Source organism: Homo sapiens, chromosome 10, assembly GCF_000001405.40.
Source record: "Homo sapiens chromosome 10, GRCh38.p14 Primary Assembly".
Classification (NCBI taxonomy): domain Eukaryota; kingdom Metazoa; phylum Chordata; class Mammalia; order Primates; family Hominidae; genus Homo; species Homo sapiens.
The window spans coordinates 27,025,337-27,041,306 of record NC_000010.11 but is presented as its reverse complement, the minus strand read 5'-3'; the positions used below and the strand labels follow the sequence as shown (position 1 = coordinate 27,041,306).

General features: G+C 35.5%; 1 protein-coding gene across 18 annotated transcripts in view; it reads left to right on the top strand.

The window, feature by feature from the left end:
• ANKRD26 (ankyrin repeat domain containing 26) overlaps positions 1 to 15,970 on the top strand; it is a 152,913-nt gene that overhangs the window by 59,188 nt on the left and 77,755 nt on the right. For 17 of the 18 annotated variants that reach the window (XM_017015929.2, XM_047424821.1, XM_017015928.2 and 14 more), the window contains 7 exons: positions 1,129 to 1,342; positions 3,253 to 3,436; positions 3,984 to 4,121; positions 5,555 to 6,511; positions 7,930 to 8,082; positions 11,951 to 12,021; positions 12,362 to 12,455. In XM_017015929.2, the coding sequence (XP_016871418.1) occupies positions 1,129 to 1,342; positions 3,253 to 3,436; positions 3,984 to 4,121; positions 5,555 to 6,511; positions 7,930 to 8,082; positions 11,951 to 12,021; positions 12,362 to 12,455 (1,811 nt within the window). Of the gene's footprint in view, positions 1 to 1,128; positions 1,343 to 3,252; positions 3,437 to 3,983; positions 4,122 to 5,554; positions 6,512 to 7,929; positions 8,083 to 10,706; positions 10,914 to 11,950; positions 12,022 to 12,361; positions 12,456 to 15,970 lie in introns of those variants that run through there. The other variant, XM_047424831.1, reaches the window with a different exon arrangement.

Below are 15,970 nucleotides of genomic sequence, written 5' to 3'. Positions count from 1 at the left end.
GTTTATTACTTTGCTCAATACCCAAGAGGGGATCTCTGTAGATCTCCAGGGTTCTCTGTACCTCTCGCTCCTCTCTAGTGTCCTGTGATCTCTGTCTACTTTGCGTTTACCAGACTCTCAGCTTCATCACTTCAACTCAGGGAGTCTGCTGGACTTTATGTCAGTTTTTCCTCCCCGCATCATGACCTAGAAACTCTGAAAGCGGGTCTCTGGGCATTCATAAGACCATAAAACTTACTTCCTTTGTTTGTTTTCTTTTCTTTTTTTTTTTTTTCTGAGGCAGAGTCTCGCTCTGTTGCCCAGGCTGGAGTACAGTGGCGCAATCTCAGCTCACTGCAACCTCCACCTCCTGGGTTCAAGCGATTCTCCTGCCTCGGCCCCCCCAAGTAGCTGTGATTACAGGTGCCTGCCACCACGCCCCACTAATTTTTGTATTTTTAGTTGAGACAGGGTTTCACTATGTTGGCCAGACTGGTCTCGAACTCCTAACCTCAGGTGATCCGCCCACCTCAGCCTCCTAAAGTGCTGGGATTACAGGTGTGACCCACTACGCCCGGCCACTTCCTTTGTTTCTTGTCTGTCAGGGATCCTTGTGTTCATTGCCTGAGTCCACTCTCTTGAAACTCGTTGTTTCATGTATTTTGTCTGTTTTGTCTTTGGTCGTTTCAGGAAAGAAGGAAAGTTAGTACCTGAAGCAGACTGCAGTAGAGCCTCAGCACACGCTGCAGACTGCCTGGAATGCTTTTCTTCCCCATTTGCTTAACTGCTGCCTTCTCGTCCTTCATTTCTCAGTGTAGCCACCTCTCCCTCAGGGAAATCTTCCCTGGACCCAGTATAGATCAAATTCTCTTTTGTGGTCATAGAACTCTGTTTCCTTACAGCATCTATCTGAATTCATAATTGTCACTTTTTTTGTATTTTGTCACTTTTTTTGTCTTCACTATACTTTAAGCTAAGCAAGTGCAGAGGTCTTGCCTGTTTTATCTTCAGAGCTTAGTTTAATGTCTTCCACATTGTAGGCCCTCAATATGTAATTGGTCAGTGTCTTAATGAGTGAATGTTATAGTGCACAGTGTGTTATATGGAAAAATGCTCATATATTTCTATCTTGTTTTCTTCCTGATACAGATTCTGTTAGCCTATTGAAAATCCAGGATGCAGCTCTTTCATGTGAAAGATTATTAGAACTTAAAAAAAATCACTGTGAACTACTTACAGTAAAAATTAAAAAAATGGAAGACAAGGTTAATGTACTACAAAGGGAGCTATCTGAAACAAAAGAAATAAAATCACAGTTAGAGCATCAAAAAGTTGAATGGGAACGAGAACTGTGCTCTTTGAGGTATGATAGCCTAGTTTTAAAGAAATGTTTAACTATTTGTACTAAAGATATATAGAATTCTTGTAATTGCTGACTTATCTTCTGGGGCTTAGCAGGGAAGAAAACTTCTTAGTCTTGTGGAGTGTGAAATTCTTGGAAATAATATAACTAGTTCTTAACTATGAACTTCTACTAAATATATATTCTTTTAAATCACTTTAATGGCTATGTAGAAGTTTGTCGTATGGAAGACTCATTATTTAATACAGTAAGTTTTGGGTTTACAGTTTTTTTGTATTATAGTTAATGCTGGAAGGAATACCTTTTTATAAATCTTTTTCTACATTTCTAATTATTTACTTTGAATAAATTCTTCAATATAGAATTATTCGTTTAAAGTATAGGAATTTTTTTTAAAAAGGCCTTTGGTCCAGATTTTTAAATTGTTCTCAGGAAAGTTTAGTTAATTTACGTTTCAATCAATAGAGAATGAAATGGCCATTTTTTCAACCTAAATTTTTTTTTTTTTTTTGAGATGGAGTCTTGCTCTGTTGCCCAGGCTGGAGTGCAGTGGCGCAATCTTGGCTCACTGTAACCTCCGCCTCCCAGGTTTAAGCAATTCTCCCACCTCAGCCTCACAAGAAGCTGGGATTACAGGCGCACGCCACCATGCCCAGCTAATTTTTGTATTTTTTTAGTAGAGACGGGGTTTCACCATGTTGGCCAGGCTGGTCTTGAACTCCTGACCTTGTGATCCTCCCGCCTTGGCCTCCTAAAGTGCTGTGATTACAGGCATGAGCCACCGTTCCCGGCCAGAACAATTTTATAGCTTTACTCTTAAGATGCATGAATTAAAAAATAAAATGGTGAGTGATTACTGAAAGTGATCTCTCTCTAATACACAGATAAAATTCATTCAAAGTTCTGTGTTGAAAATGCATATTATTCTTTACGGTTTACTTAAATATTAGATCCTGTTTTGTTCCAAAAGAGATTTTAAAATTGTTTATGCAATATGTAATAATCAAGAAGGTATGTCGAAAGTGTTACCAGAAAAAAGAAACATAAAAAGTATGGGGTAACCAGTATTAGGCTCGTTAGCCTAATCTTTAATTATGCTATTATACAGATATATGTTGTATGAAAGCATCTGAGGGTGTTATCTTACACTGTAATAATTTTTAGGGATACTTGCAATATTTCATAAAAACAAAAATATATTTCTATTGGATTTATAAACATTTTAGTAAACTAACTTCTTTTTAGTTAGTTTAATGATCTTTCCTAATTGAGGAGTAATTATGACTAATTAAAAAAAGATTTTTTTTTTTTTTTGAGATGGAATCTCACTCTGTCGCCCAGGCTGGAGTGCAGTGGCACAATCTCGGCTCACTGCAACATCCGCCTCCCGGGTTCAAGCGGTTCTCTTGCCTCAGTCTCCTGAGTAGCTGGGATTACAGGTGTCTGCCACCACACCTGTCTAATTTTTTGTATTTTTAGTAGAGATGTGGTTTCACCCTGTTGGCCAGGCTGGTCTCGAACTCCTGACTTCAAGTGATCTGCGCGCCTCGGCCTCCCAAAGTGATAGGATTACAGGCATGAACTACTGGCACCCAGCCAAAAAGATAATTTTCAACTTGCATCTTTACTGAATCATTTCCAATATCTTTTTCCATAATATTTATCAGAGGTACTCATAACAGAAACTTACCAGTTAGCAGAATGTTCTTTCATCACTACCTTTCAAGTATATATGTCCTTTGGAAAAGACTGAAGTGAGAAATTAAAAATCAGAGAACTAGAAAGGAAAAATATTCAAGAACATAGAAATTGTATTAGGGTAATAAACCAACATACAAAGCGGCATATCACACAATGAACTTTTTATTTTGTAACAATACAGATTTTAAGATAAACATATTTAACTGCAGATTTAGCTTAAACCAAGAAGAAGAGAAGAGAAGAAATGCTGATACGTTGTATGAAAAAATTAGGGAACAGTTAAGAAGAAAAGAAGAGCAATATAGGAAAGAAGTTGAAGTGAAACAACAGCTTGAACTGAGTCTCCAAACACTGGAGATGGAATTGAGGACTGTAAAAAGTAATTTGAATCAGGTAAATTAATTTTTGATAAAAATTTTATATTTTTAACTTTATTTCATCACTATTATCACATCCTTTTGATTTAATATATGTTATCTAGGTTTAAAACAAAACTGTTATCTCAAGCTGACCTGTGACCTTTATAACTAAAATTATTCATGATAAATCTTGGCACCTAATAGATGCTTAGTCTCTGTTTTCTGAATGAAGGAATGGAGGGTAAGTTGAGTTTAATCACTAACATAAATGTTAATTTAGGCATTTAATGTTAAAATACAGGCTAAATAGCTCTAAAATTATGATGAAACTAGTAAAATGTTTTGACATTTTATTTCACAATTCTATATTTGCCTGTATTTATTAAGAACCATTTTTGCTTTTTGATTAATTTAGCTGTCACTTAGGTGATTAAAATTTGAGTAATTCTTGAGTAATAAAGGTTCTTGCATTTTAATGTGCTATTTCCTTTTTATAAGTTTTTTGTTTTAAAATTCTGCTCTTGTTAACCTTTTAGACTTTTACAAAATGCTAATAGACCTAAAACTTAATGTATCTCTAGGTCGTTCAAGAGCGAAATGACGCTCAGAGGCAACTTTCTCGAGAACAGAATGCCAGAATGTTACAAGATGGAATTCTGACCAATCACCTTTCCAAACAAAAGGAGATTGAAATGGCTCAAAAGAAAATGAATTCTGAGGTATTTCTATTTCCTTTAGTCATTTTCAAATATGTGTGTATATGTATTTATATGTGTATATATTTTAAAAACCAACTATATATGCATCTTGGAAAGTGTCGAGGATTTTTAAACCATATATGTGTATCTTGGGGTAGTGGTAGTGTTTTTGGTCCATTGGATAAAGTGATGTTCTTAATTCAGCTCCACTTGTCTGCAGCAGTCAAGTAATGACATTCAGAATGGCCTCATCCAAAGGAGAAGCTTTTAATAATATCTTCCGTAAGAATTGATGGTCTTTCCACAATCTCAAAACCCTTGCTACTAACAATAGATGCTTGAGATTTTGGAAGTGATTTCATCACCTTGATATATTAATGGAGAGGTTAGTTTATTGCTTCTACCCATAGGAAAGGAGGAAAAGTACAGCCAGTTCAGTGACATATTTTGGATGTTATTCTTCTCACTGTTGAGAAGAGTAATGGTTTACTGCAAGTAGTATCTTATTTTGGTACAAAGAGCTTTTGAAACAATGATATGCCATGATATATAGTTAGTGATAATTTAGTGATAAGTATTTTGTTCCTAGTAAAACAGTTCAGCATATTTCTCCCTGTTTCACATTATTACATTTTCAAACATTATGAAGAGGAAACAAAAGTTATTGCGACAACAAATAATCTCGTGATTTTCCAAGAGGAACTCTACAAATTTTGTCCTATTTACCATTAGTGTTGTAAAATAAAAGGCTTCTTTTGTATTTAAATATTTATACCACAGAAATAACTGATTTAGTGAAAGAACACTATAAATAGAGTCAGAAGACCCAGGGAAAATCATACAGCTGCTTTTTTTTTTTAACTTTTCCTTTTCAAAACTGTGATACTAAATGAGTTCATTGATATATGTAGAAGTGCTTAGTACAATGCCTAGATTTATTATTCATCAATAAACGTAATTGATAACTGACTATAAAGATGTGAGAAAAGTAGAGTATCTATAGAATATGCTCAGAAAAAAGGAACTTGAAAAACTTCAGGAAATTTCGTCTGTCCAAATATATGTAGAGCCAAGGCTCTTACTATGGGTTGGTGTATGGGTTAGATATCAGAGTATAAACCCAATTTTTTAATGTGGTCAAATTATTAATCTTTTATGCTTTTGAATTTGTTGTACTTCAGTAAAAGGCCTTTCCAATTCTGTGATTCTTAAAAATTTTCTAGTGGTTTCTTTTTTACTTTCATGGATTAATTGTCTTCAAATAAATTTTTGAACTTTTGGGAGTTTATGCTCTATACGGTTTGAGTTTTGATCCAACTTTTTTTTTTTCAATTGGATATACACTTATTGCAACCCTTTATTGTAAAATGTACAGTTTATTCTTTAATTTCAGAGGAAATCATGATCTGTCATTTTCTTGGGTGCTAGCTCAAAGTTTCCTTTGTTTTACTTAGAATTCTCATAGTCATGAAGAAGAAAAAGACCTATCGCATAAAAATAGCATGTTGCAGGAAGAAATTGCTATGCTAAGACTAGAAATAGACACAATAAAAAATCAAAACCAGGAAAAAGAAAAGAAATGTTTTGAGGACCTTAAAATTGTAAAAGAAAAGAATGAAGACCTTCAGAAGACTATAAAACAGAATGAGGAAACATTAACACAAACAATATCCCAGTATAATGGACGGCTTAGTGTTCTGACAGCTGAGAATGCAATGCTAAATTCTAAACTGGAGAATGAAAAGCAAAGCAAGGAAAGACTGGAAGCAGAAGTTGAATCATACCATTCTAGATTGGCTGCTGCTATACATGATCGTGATCAAAGTGAGACATCAAAAAGAGAACTAGAACTTGCTTTCCAGAGAGCAAGAGATGAATGTTCTCGTTTACAGGACAAAATGAATTTTGATGTGTCTAACCTAAAAGATAACAATGAGATTCTTTCTCAACAACTATTTAAAACTGAAAGTAAACTCAATAGCCTAGAAATTGAGTTCCATCACACGAGAGATGCCCTCAGAGAAAAGACTTTGGGTTTAGAACGGGTACAAAAGGACCTAAGCCAAACACAGTGTCAAATGAAGGAAATGGAACAAAAGTATCAAAATGAACAAGTTAAAGTGAATAAATACATTGGAAAGCAGGAGTCTGTAGAGGAGAGATTGTCTCAACTACAAAGTGAGAATATGTTGCTTCGACAACAACTGGATGATGCCCACAACAAGGCTGACAATAAAGAGAAGACAGTGATTAATATCCAAGACCAGTTTCATGCTATTGTGCAAAAACTTCAAGCTGAGAGTGAAAAGCAAAGTCTTCTGCTAGAAGAAAGAAATAAGGAGTTAATCAGTGAATGTAATCACTTAAAAGAAAGACAGTATCAATATGAAAATGAAAAGGCAGAAAGAGAAGTAAGTATCAAGAAAGATAAATATTTTTCAAACCTCCTGAAAGAAAATTTAAAATAATATATAGTTATGTAGTTAACTATAAAAATAAATAGATAAGCTTATTTACTCTATCAGTTTAGAAACATCCCTTGTTTTCAGCAAATAAAAGAGCTGAGAGATGCTTTACTTTGAGTAAAGATATTGTATCATCTATGAAATTTTGAGTTTTAAGTTATGAATTGTTATAGACTAGTATGAATAGTAAACTAATGTGAATAATGTAGTCTTTTACTGCTGAAGTAATAATTTTAGTGTCTTTATGTTGCCACATCTTAAGAACATTTCCATTTGTCTGCCACCATGAAACAGATAAATGGAAATGCTTATACCTGAAATGAGGATTTTGAAGTTAAGGTTCAATTAAGTGTGTTATTTTGACAGTTAATTCCAGATTTCCAGATAAACTGAAGTATATTGCTATATCTCTTAATACTTTTCTGTCAGTAGCTTTTTATATATTTCAGTTGATGTGATTTTATTTTTATTCTTGTCAATTTGACTTGTCTAAAAATATTTCAATCTCAAATTACATATTGTTATGATCTCTCAATTCTTTAAAGCATGTACTTTTTATTAAACCATAATTTGGGACAAATGTGAATTTTAGCAACCATATTTGACTTAATCTCCCCAGTGGTATTTATAATTTACTTTGAATATATTATGAGCAAATAATTTGCTCATAATTTTCATTTCAGTGCCCAATGACTATCATTTGGGTATAACTTTGTTCAGTATAAAGATAAGTAAGTGTAGCGATTTGTGATTTATTAGTTTGGCATTGGACCACCATTTTCACACTAATGAGGGGTGGCAGGATGCACAGGCAGCAAGAATGGAGTGAGTAGGGGAGAGTCATAGCAGCCGAGGTCAGGGAGGCAAGTGGAGGCCAGGTTACCTAGGGCCTCTAAGGCCATTGGAATTTACCTGTATTCTGAGATAGGAATCTATTGGAATAATTTGAGCAAGCAATTAAGTATCTGAGGAGCTCTGAAGTTGATTTGATGTTCTAATAAAAAAGAGCAAAAATGTTTCATAGGGTACAATTAATCACTACCAGTTCCACTCACATAACTATTTCGAGACTTCAGTAGATTGTTAAGCAGTGTAAATTCATGGGGGGATGAATGAATAATGGGCTGAATCTGTTGTTTAAGTAACGTCATACCTAATTGGCAGGAAGATAACACCTGTGTCCTTAACTGAATTCAGTAATAAACAGCAATGTGTACATATGAGGACAAGAAGGTGAATCAATGTATGTGGTAATATTTTTTAAGTTGTATATGTCATAGTTAAATATTATTAACATAATTTATTTTTTAACATAACTTAATAATAAGGTGATTTATAAAATCAGTAACAAAATGTCTTATCAGGTTGTTGTGAGACAACTTCAACAAGAACTAGCTGATACCCTAAAAAAACAATCTATGTCAGAGGCTTCACTGGAGGTTACGTCACGTTATCGTATTAATTTAGAAGATGAGACACAGGATTTAAAGAAGAAATTAGGTCAAATCAGAAATCAAGTATGTATGAAATTTAACATGTCAAACAGTTAATCTATAACTGGTTAAATATATAGTGTTTTATCATACTAATTTAGTGGGTAGCCTTCTTTTGTGTTTTCATTATAATTAATTTAAATTTTATTATCTTTTTTTTTTTTTTGAGATGGAGTCTCGTTCTATTGCCCAGGCTGGAGTGCAGTGGCACAGTGGCGCGATCTCGGCTCAATGCAAGCCCCACCTCCCGGGCTCACTCCATTCTCCTGCCTCAGCCTCCCGAGTAGCTGGGACTACAGGCACCTACCGCCACACCTGGCTAATTTTTTGTGGTTTTTTTTAGTAGAGACGAGGTTTCACCGTGTTAGCCAGGATGGTCTAAATTTTATTGTCTTTATAATACACTTGCTTCTTTATTTATTTGTTTTTTTTTTGAGACAGAGTCTCACTCTGTTGCCCAGGCTGGAGTACAGTGGCACTGTCTCAGCTCACTGCAACCTTCACCTCCCCGGTTCAAGCGATTCTTTTGCCTCAGCCTCCTGAGTAGCTGGCATTATAGGTGTGTGCCAGCATGCCCAGCTAATTTTTGTTTTTTGTTTTTTGTTTTTTTTTTGAGACAGAGTCTCGCTCTGTAGCCCAGGCTGGCGTGCAGTGGCATAATTTTGGCTCACTGCAACCTCCGCCTCCTGGGTTCAAGCAATTCTCCTGCCTCAGCCTCCCGAGTAGCTGGGATTACAGGTGCCCACCACCACGCCTGGCTAATTTTTGTATTTACAGTTAGAGATAGGGTTTTGCCATGTTGGCCAGGCTGGTCTCAAACTCCTAACCTCAGGTGATCCACCCCCCTCGGCCTCCCAGAGTACTGTGATTACAGGTGTGAGCCACCGCACCTGGCCTAATTTTTGTATTTTTAATAGAGATGGGGTTTCACCCTGTTGGCCAGGCTGGTCTCGAATTCCTGACCTCAGGTGTTCCACCTGCCTGGGCCTCCCAAAGTGCTAGGATTACAGATGTGAGCCACCGCACCCATCTTGTTTATTAAACTCTTTCATTCTGCCATTTTTTTCTTATAATTGCACATTTTTAAAAATAATATTTAGTCTTAGGAAAGTTGAGAATTATACATCATTCCTCATGGAAGTTGAGAGAGTTTTTTCCTGTTAAACAGTATTTTATAGTGATTTTTCTATTGTCATGGCAAGCCAGATTAAGTTAGAGGATAATGTTTAATGGAATGTTCCAGAAAATTGTCTTATTTCTTATTTTCACTTTTGTGAATGGATACAGAGTCTGTGTTGATTTATTTTATGGATTTCAAATTAATTTGTACAGAAAGGCCATTAACTTTTCTCCAAAATGCAAATGTTTTAGGTTAATTTATAAACTATTTGAAATAGGCATTTCCTTCATTTTCCTTTCATTTAAAATATATTATAAAAACATAGAAATATTTAGATTATGTATAGCATGTACATCTAAACTAGAGAATTAAGAAAATTATCTAGATCCCTCCACTGGATTTTTAAAGAACATTATTGAGATATAATTTATATACCATACAGTTCACTCATTTAAGGTGTACAATTCAGTGTCTCTTAGATTATTTACAGAGTTGTGTAACCATCACCACAGTCAATTTTAGAACATTGTTATCACCCTGAAAAGAAACCCCACATCCCTTAGCCATCACCACCATCCCTGTCCATGTCCCTCCACCTTCTCCAATCCTAGGCAACCACCATCTACTTTTTGTCTCCTTAAATTTGCCTGTTCTGAACATTTCATATAAATAGAGTCATACAATATGCAGTCTTTTATGAGTGGCTTCTTTTACTTAGCATGTTTTTGGGGTCCATCTGTGTTGTAGCACATATCAGTACTTCATTTCTTTTTATTGTCTAATAATATTCTATTGTATGGCTATACCAGTTATCCATTCATCAGCGGATGGGCCTCTAGATTGTTTCTACTTTTTGGCTACTGTAAATAATGCTGCGATGAACATTCATTTATAAGACATATGTTTTTATTCTCCTGCCACTGGATTTTATCTTCAGAGTTAATCAGGCTGCTTTCACCATCTCTCTGCTTGACTCCTGCTGTTCTTCCTGCCTTTGCAGTTTCTGTTCATCTAGCCTCATTCATTCAGACCTGGCACACAATTCCCCCTCCTTTCGGAAGCTTTCTCTGACTGTTCTGGATCTCATTGACCTCACATTTTAGCACTCTTTGTCTAGTCTGTGTAGAACAATTTGCCCTTAATTTAACTTCACTTTTATTTTTTTTCATAAGAGAGAAACTTGTCTAATTATAAATTTGCCTACGAGGTGAATAATATCTGATATGCCTGTCACCTATCCTTGTATAAATTGAAAATATTTTAGCTTAGCAATTGTTAGGTTAAAATTACTTTATATTATACTAAGAATTTCTTCTTTGAGACATTGATATAATAAAGCTTTTATTCTATTTTTATTATTTTATTTTTTTACAAGGCCACAGCTAACATAGGTGGTTATTCTAAATATATTTTAAGTAATTAAATATAAGTAGAAACCACTTAATCTAGTAAAGGAAAGTTATTCAATCAAATGCTCATGTTTTTCACCCTGAAAAGAAATCTACATTTCCATTTCTTTATTACGTAGCCAGAGCTGGGATCCGTAGATTCATACCGCTTTCCCACCCAAAGAGCTCCAGCTTTTCTCCTACACCGTACGACATAACCTTAGCCTTAAGCCCACCAGAGTGCTCGCTAAAGCAGCTCAGCATAGACAGTTGTTGCAAATGACTTGATTTGGGAACCTTGTTTCGCAGCAGAGTCCAGTGTTTTCAGTCCAGTGCTCTGATGGCCATGTAAGTTATGTATTACTTATTCCAGGAGGTGCTGTTTGCATTGTGGTCATTGCCCACTGAGTAAAGCAGAGAGAAAGTAATCTATAATTGTTTAAAGTACTGTCGGCTTAGTGGAATTGGCAAAAGTTCTGTGAAGTACTAGGGGTGTATTCTGGGCCTCATGCTCCCCATTTGCTTTCACTTTCAGTGGTGTGAAGAATGATTCAGTGCAGCTATAGTAGACCACTTCCATTGGCATGCCATCTGCCTAAAATATACAATTTTATTAGAACATAAAATACAGTAAAAAGAATCACACAAACAGCAAATATTATATATAGCTCACTATATGCCATGTACTCATCTAAGTACTTTATGTATATATTCCTTGACTGAATCTTCTTACCATCCCAGTGAAGTAATAGTATTACTGTCTCTGTTTCTATTTTACCACTGAAGAAATTGAGACACTGAATGTTAATTTGCTCAAGGTCACACAGCTGGTAACTGGTGGAGCTGGGATTCCCACCCGGCCATTCCCGCTTCTGTGTGGATACGGCCTCTCAGTTTCATGAATATCTAGTTGTCACCTAACATGTCATCATGTTAATTTTTATAATCACTGGCATTGCCATGGTCATTCACATCTATAAATATTTAAACTTATAGTTCATGTGGTGGTGCTTGGAATGCAAAAATATAAATGCTTATCGTAAGGTAATTTCCTATCTTTCTACATTTTACCAAGTTTGTAAATTTGAGTATTTATCTGATAAAATATAGTTTGAAAACAAGAGTAATATGTTTTAGTTCTAGAACGCAGGTTGATAAACTTTTCTGTAAAGGGCCAGATAGTATTATTTTAGGCTTTGGGAGCCGTAGATACCACCTGCTGCAACAGATCAGCTCTACAGTCACAGCACAAAAGTAGCCATAAACAATATGCATATTGAAGGGGTATGACTGTGTTCCGATAAGGTTTAGTTACAAAAACAGGTAATGGACAGATGTGTACTAGATTATTAGTAAAGTGGGTTTTTTTTATTCTTTGTTTTAGTTGCAAGAAGCACAGGATCGACATACAGAAGCTGTCAGATGTGCTGAGAAGATGCAAGATCACAAGCAAAAGTAAAATTTAAAGCAGCACACAGAAAAACATGATTATTTATAGAGCAAATAAGCAGTGTAGTATGAGAATTATATCAGCTATGATCATAAGTACATCTGTGTGAAGTCAAGGAAAAATTTCAGCATTAAGCAATTTTGAAATGCGGATTTTTTTATATTATCCTAGAATTTTGTGCATTATCCACAAACCACAACTAGAAAAACGATAGAGTTGCCAAATCACCTACTTTTGAAATCTTTAAGAATTTATGTAATTATGCCTTCAGGTGTTTGCTAAGAAATTACACAGTATTTTAAAAATTTATCTGTGAGAATAATTATTTTAAAATATACATTTCAGGCTTGAAAAAGATAATGCCAAGTTAAAAGTTACAGTCAAAAAGCAAATGGACAAAATTGAGGAGCTTCAGAAAAACCTGTTAAATGCAAATTTGGTAAGTCAGCCACTTAATTTCTGTCGTACTGAAAAGGAATTTTATTGCTTTAGTAGGACAAGTTGAGTATCCCTTATTTAAAATGCTTGAGACCAGAAGTGTTTCAGATTTTGGATTTTTTTTTATTTTGGAATATTTGTACATACATAATGAGATATCTTGGAGACAGGACCCAAGCCTAACATGAAATTCATTGATTTTTCATATATACCTTATATATGTAGCCTGAAGTTACTTTTATGTAATTTTTTTTTTTTTTTTTTTTTGAGATGGAGTCTCACTCTGTCGCCCAGGCTGGAGTGCAGTGGTGCGATCTCAGCTCTGCCTCCCGGGTTCACGCCATTCTCCTGCCTCAGCCTCCCGAGTAGCTGGGACTACAGGAGCCCGCCACCACACCCGGTTAATTTTTTTGTATTTTTAGTAGAGACAGGGTTTCACCGTGTTAGCCAGGATGGTCTCGATCTCCTGACCTCATGATCCGCCCGCCTCGGCCTCCCAAAGTGCTGGGATTACAGGTATGAGCCACAGTGCCCGGCCACTTTTATGAATATTTTAAAAATAATTTTATGCATGAAACAGAGTTTTGACTGTGTTTTCACTGTGACATGTCACATGAGGTCAGGTGTGGAATTTTCCACTTGTGACATCCTGTCCACACTCAAGAGTTTCAGATTTTGGAACATTTTGGATTTCAAATTTTCAGATGTTCCTCCACTTATGATGGGATTACATCCTCATAAACACATTGTAAGTTGAAAATATTATAAGGTGAAATTTAATACACCTACTGAACATCATAGCTTAGCCTAGCCTATCTTAAACCTGCTCTGAACACTTACATTAGCCTACAGTTGGACAAAATCATCTAACACAAAGTCTATCTTATAATAAGTATTGGATATCTCATATACCACATATTGCTAGCCTGGGAAAAGATAAAATTCAAAATCTGAAGTATGTTGAAATTGTGATGGTTTCACGCCATTATAAAGTCAAAAAGTTGTATTAATAAGTTGACCCATGGTAAGTAAATCCAAATTGTAGTGGTTTCACACACTCTTAAAGTTGAAAAATTGTAAGTTGGGCTATTGTAAGTTGGGGACTATCTGTATGTAAGAATATTTTAGATAATATGAAAATCCTTATTGATAAAAATATTTATTGTATTCATGGTAATACTACTTGCTACTAGTAGTGCAAGTCCTCTTGACTTTATAGAAGTTGACTGAATTCATAACATTAATGAGTTTGGTAGTAAGATTTTAATAAAAAAGATTATGATAGACTAAAAACAGTGTTTTTTATATACATTTTGTTTGTTCACTCATCCATTGATGGACGTTCGGATTATTTCTGCCTTTTGCTTATTGTGAATAATGCTGCTATGGATATGGTGTACAATTGTCTGAGTCTCTGCTAATATTTGTAATATCTTTTGAAATTCTAAGAAATTTGAGTAGTGACTTGATCTACAATTCTGAATTTCTTTTATAATCTAAACCCTTCAGTGAGAATTTCAGAATGAATTGCTTTTAACATGGTAGTTTTTATTCCTCATCAAGAATGGATACTATGTCATTATACAAGCATTCTTTTCCCCCAAAGTAATGTGTTTTTCTCTTTGGATTTTAAAAAAGAAAAACCTGTGAAAAAGTAGAAATGGCTGCTCCAGCAGGACATTACAGAATAACACAGTGCTCCTAGCATTGCAGATTCAGAAACTTTTTTTCCCATTTATCTGTGTTCATCAGTCTTTCAAAACCTTAACAGTTCCTGTCAGGCGCAGTGGCTCATGCCCAGCACTTTGGGAGGCCGAGGCGGGTGGATCACCTGAGGTTAGGAGTTTGAGACCAGCCTGGCCAACATGGCAAAACCCTGTCTCTACTGTAAATACAAAAATTAGCCAGGCGTGATGGCAGGCCCCTGTAATCCTACTACTCAGGAGGCTGAAGTAGGAGAATTGCTTGAACCCAGAAGGTGGAGGTTACAGTGAGACGAGATTGTGCTATTGGGTGACAGAGTGAGACTCCATCTCAAAAAAAAAAACTAAAAAAAACCAAAACCTTAACAGTCCAGTCTCAGAAAGGATGGCCGTGTAATCCACAATACCAATTTATTGATGTACCAATTTAGTGATTATTTATTGATGTTCTGCTTGATGTTTAACAAGCAGAACAGGATTCTCTGGTCATTCACACTTTCCTGTGTAGAAATGAAGATCAGAAGGTTGCATTGTAAATACTAAAGTGGAGCAATGAGGTTGATGCTTCTACTAATGAGTTTCTTTAAGTCACAACAGGAAGATTTATGCTACTCTCCTATACAGATACACCTATCAGAAGAAACATTGACAAGTTTTTTTTCTAGATTTCATGTGTTAGTCCTACTTTATTGGCATCCTTTTCACACAAGTGACATGACAATATATTGATATGAAGTCTCCTGTGAATGAGAGTGTGGGGGACATCCCCTTATATGGATGTCATCCAGGAATATATCAACATCTCAGAAATGGAAAATTTAGTAAAAGTACTCAAAACCTGCTAAGCTTATTCAAAAATAATGGGGGATTTTCTGTAGATTCCCATAGAAATGAGTTAGGAATATGGCATATAATTATTAGTCACTTTGAAATGTACACTGTGAATCAAAAATTTAATAGAGACCGCTTTCAACCAACTCATCAATAGCCCCTAACTTTTCCAGAAGGTTCTCATCTCATGTCTTTATGGAAAAGGGAATTAGTCAAAAGAAAGCAAAGGCAAACAATCAATAATCTGACCCTTGTGGAAAAGTTTTGCATTATGAAAGAAAAACAAAGACAAAGTATGCTGGTCAACATCCTAAGGGTGAGTGTGCCCACACAAGATGAGAAAATAACACTACACTCAAAATAACACCAATAAGAATCAACATAAAATGTACAAGATTAGCTACCTACAAAAGGAATCTGCACCAAGTAATGGTTTATGAGTGTGTGGTTGAGAATATGGTTTATGAGAAGTGAAACAGAAGGAAGAGACCTCAGGAAAGAGGTCTGGGCTGGAAATCTAGATTAGGGAATCTGGGATGAAGCCTTGAGATTTAAGGAGCTCTTAGAGAATTTAAAAAAGAGGAATGGAAGGGGACAGGACTCAGCATGAAGGGTTGCTGCATTTAGAAATGAAGTGAGGTCAGAGACGCCTAGGGGAGGGTATGGTCACTGATAGTAGTTGCTGCTGAGAAGTAAAGCAGATTAAAGACTAAAAAATAGGGCCTTGATGACTTTCAGAATTTTAAAATGAGAATTATAAGACTGAAAATTAGATTTTAGTATAAAAGAAGACAAGTGATGAAGAAGTAGATCTCTAGATGAGACCGTGTATTAAAAAATATTAGAGCCTGATGAGCACAGTGGCTGACACCTGTAATTCCAGTGCTTTAGGAGGCTGAGGCAGGAGAATCGCTTCAGACTAGGAATCAAGACCAGCCTGGGCAGCATAGCAAAACTCTGTCTCTAAAAAATATGAAATAAA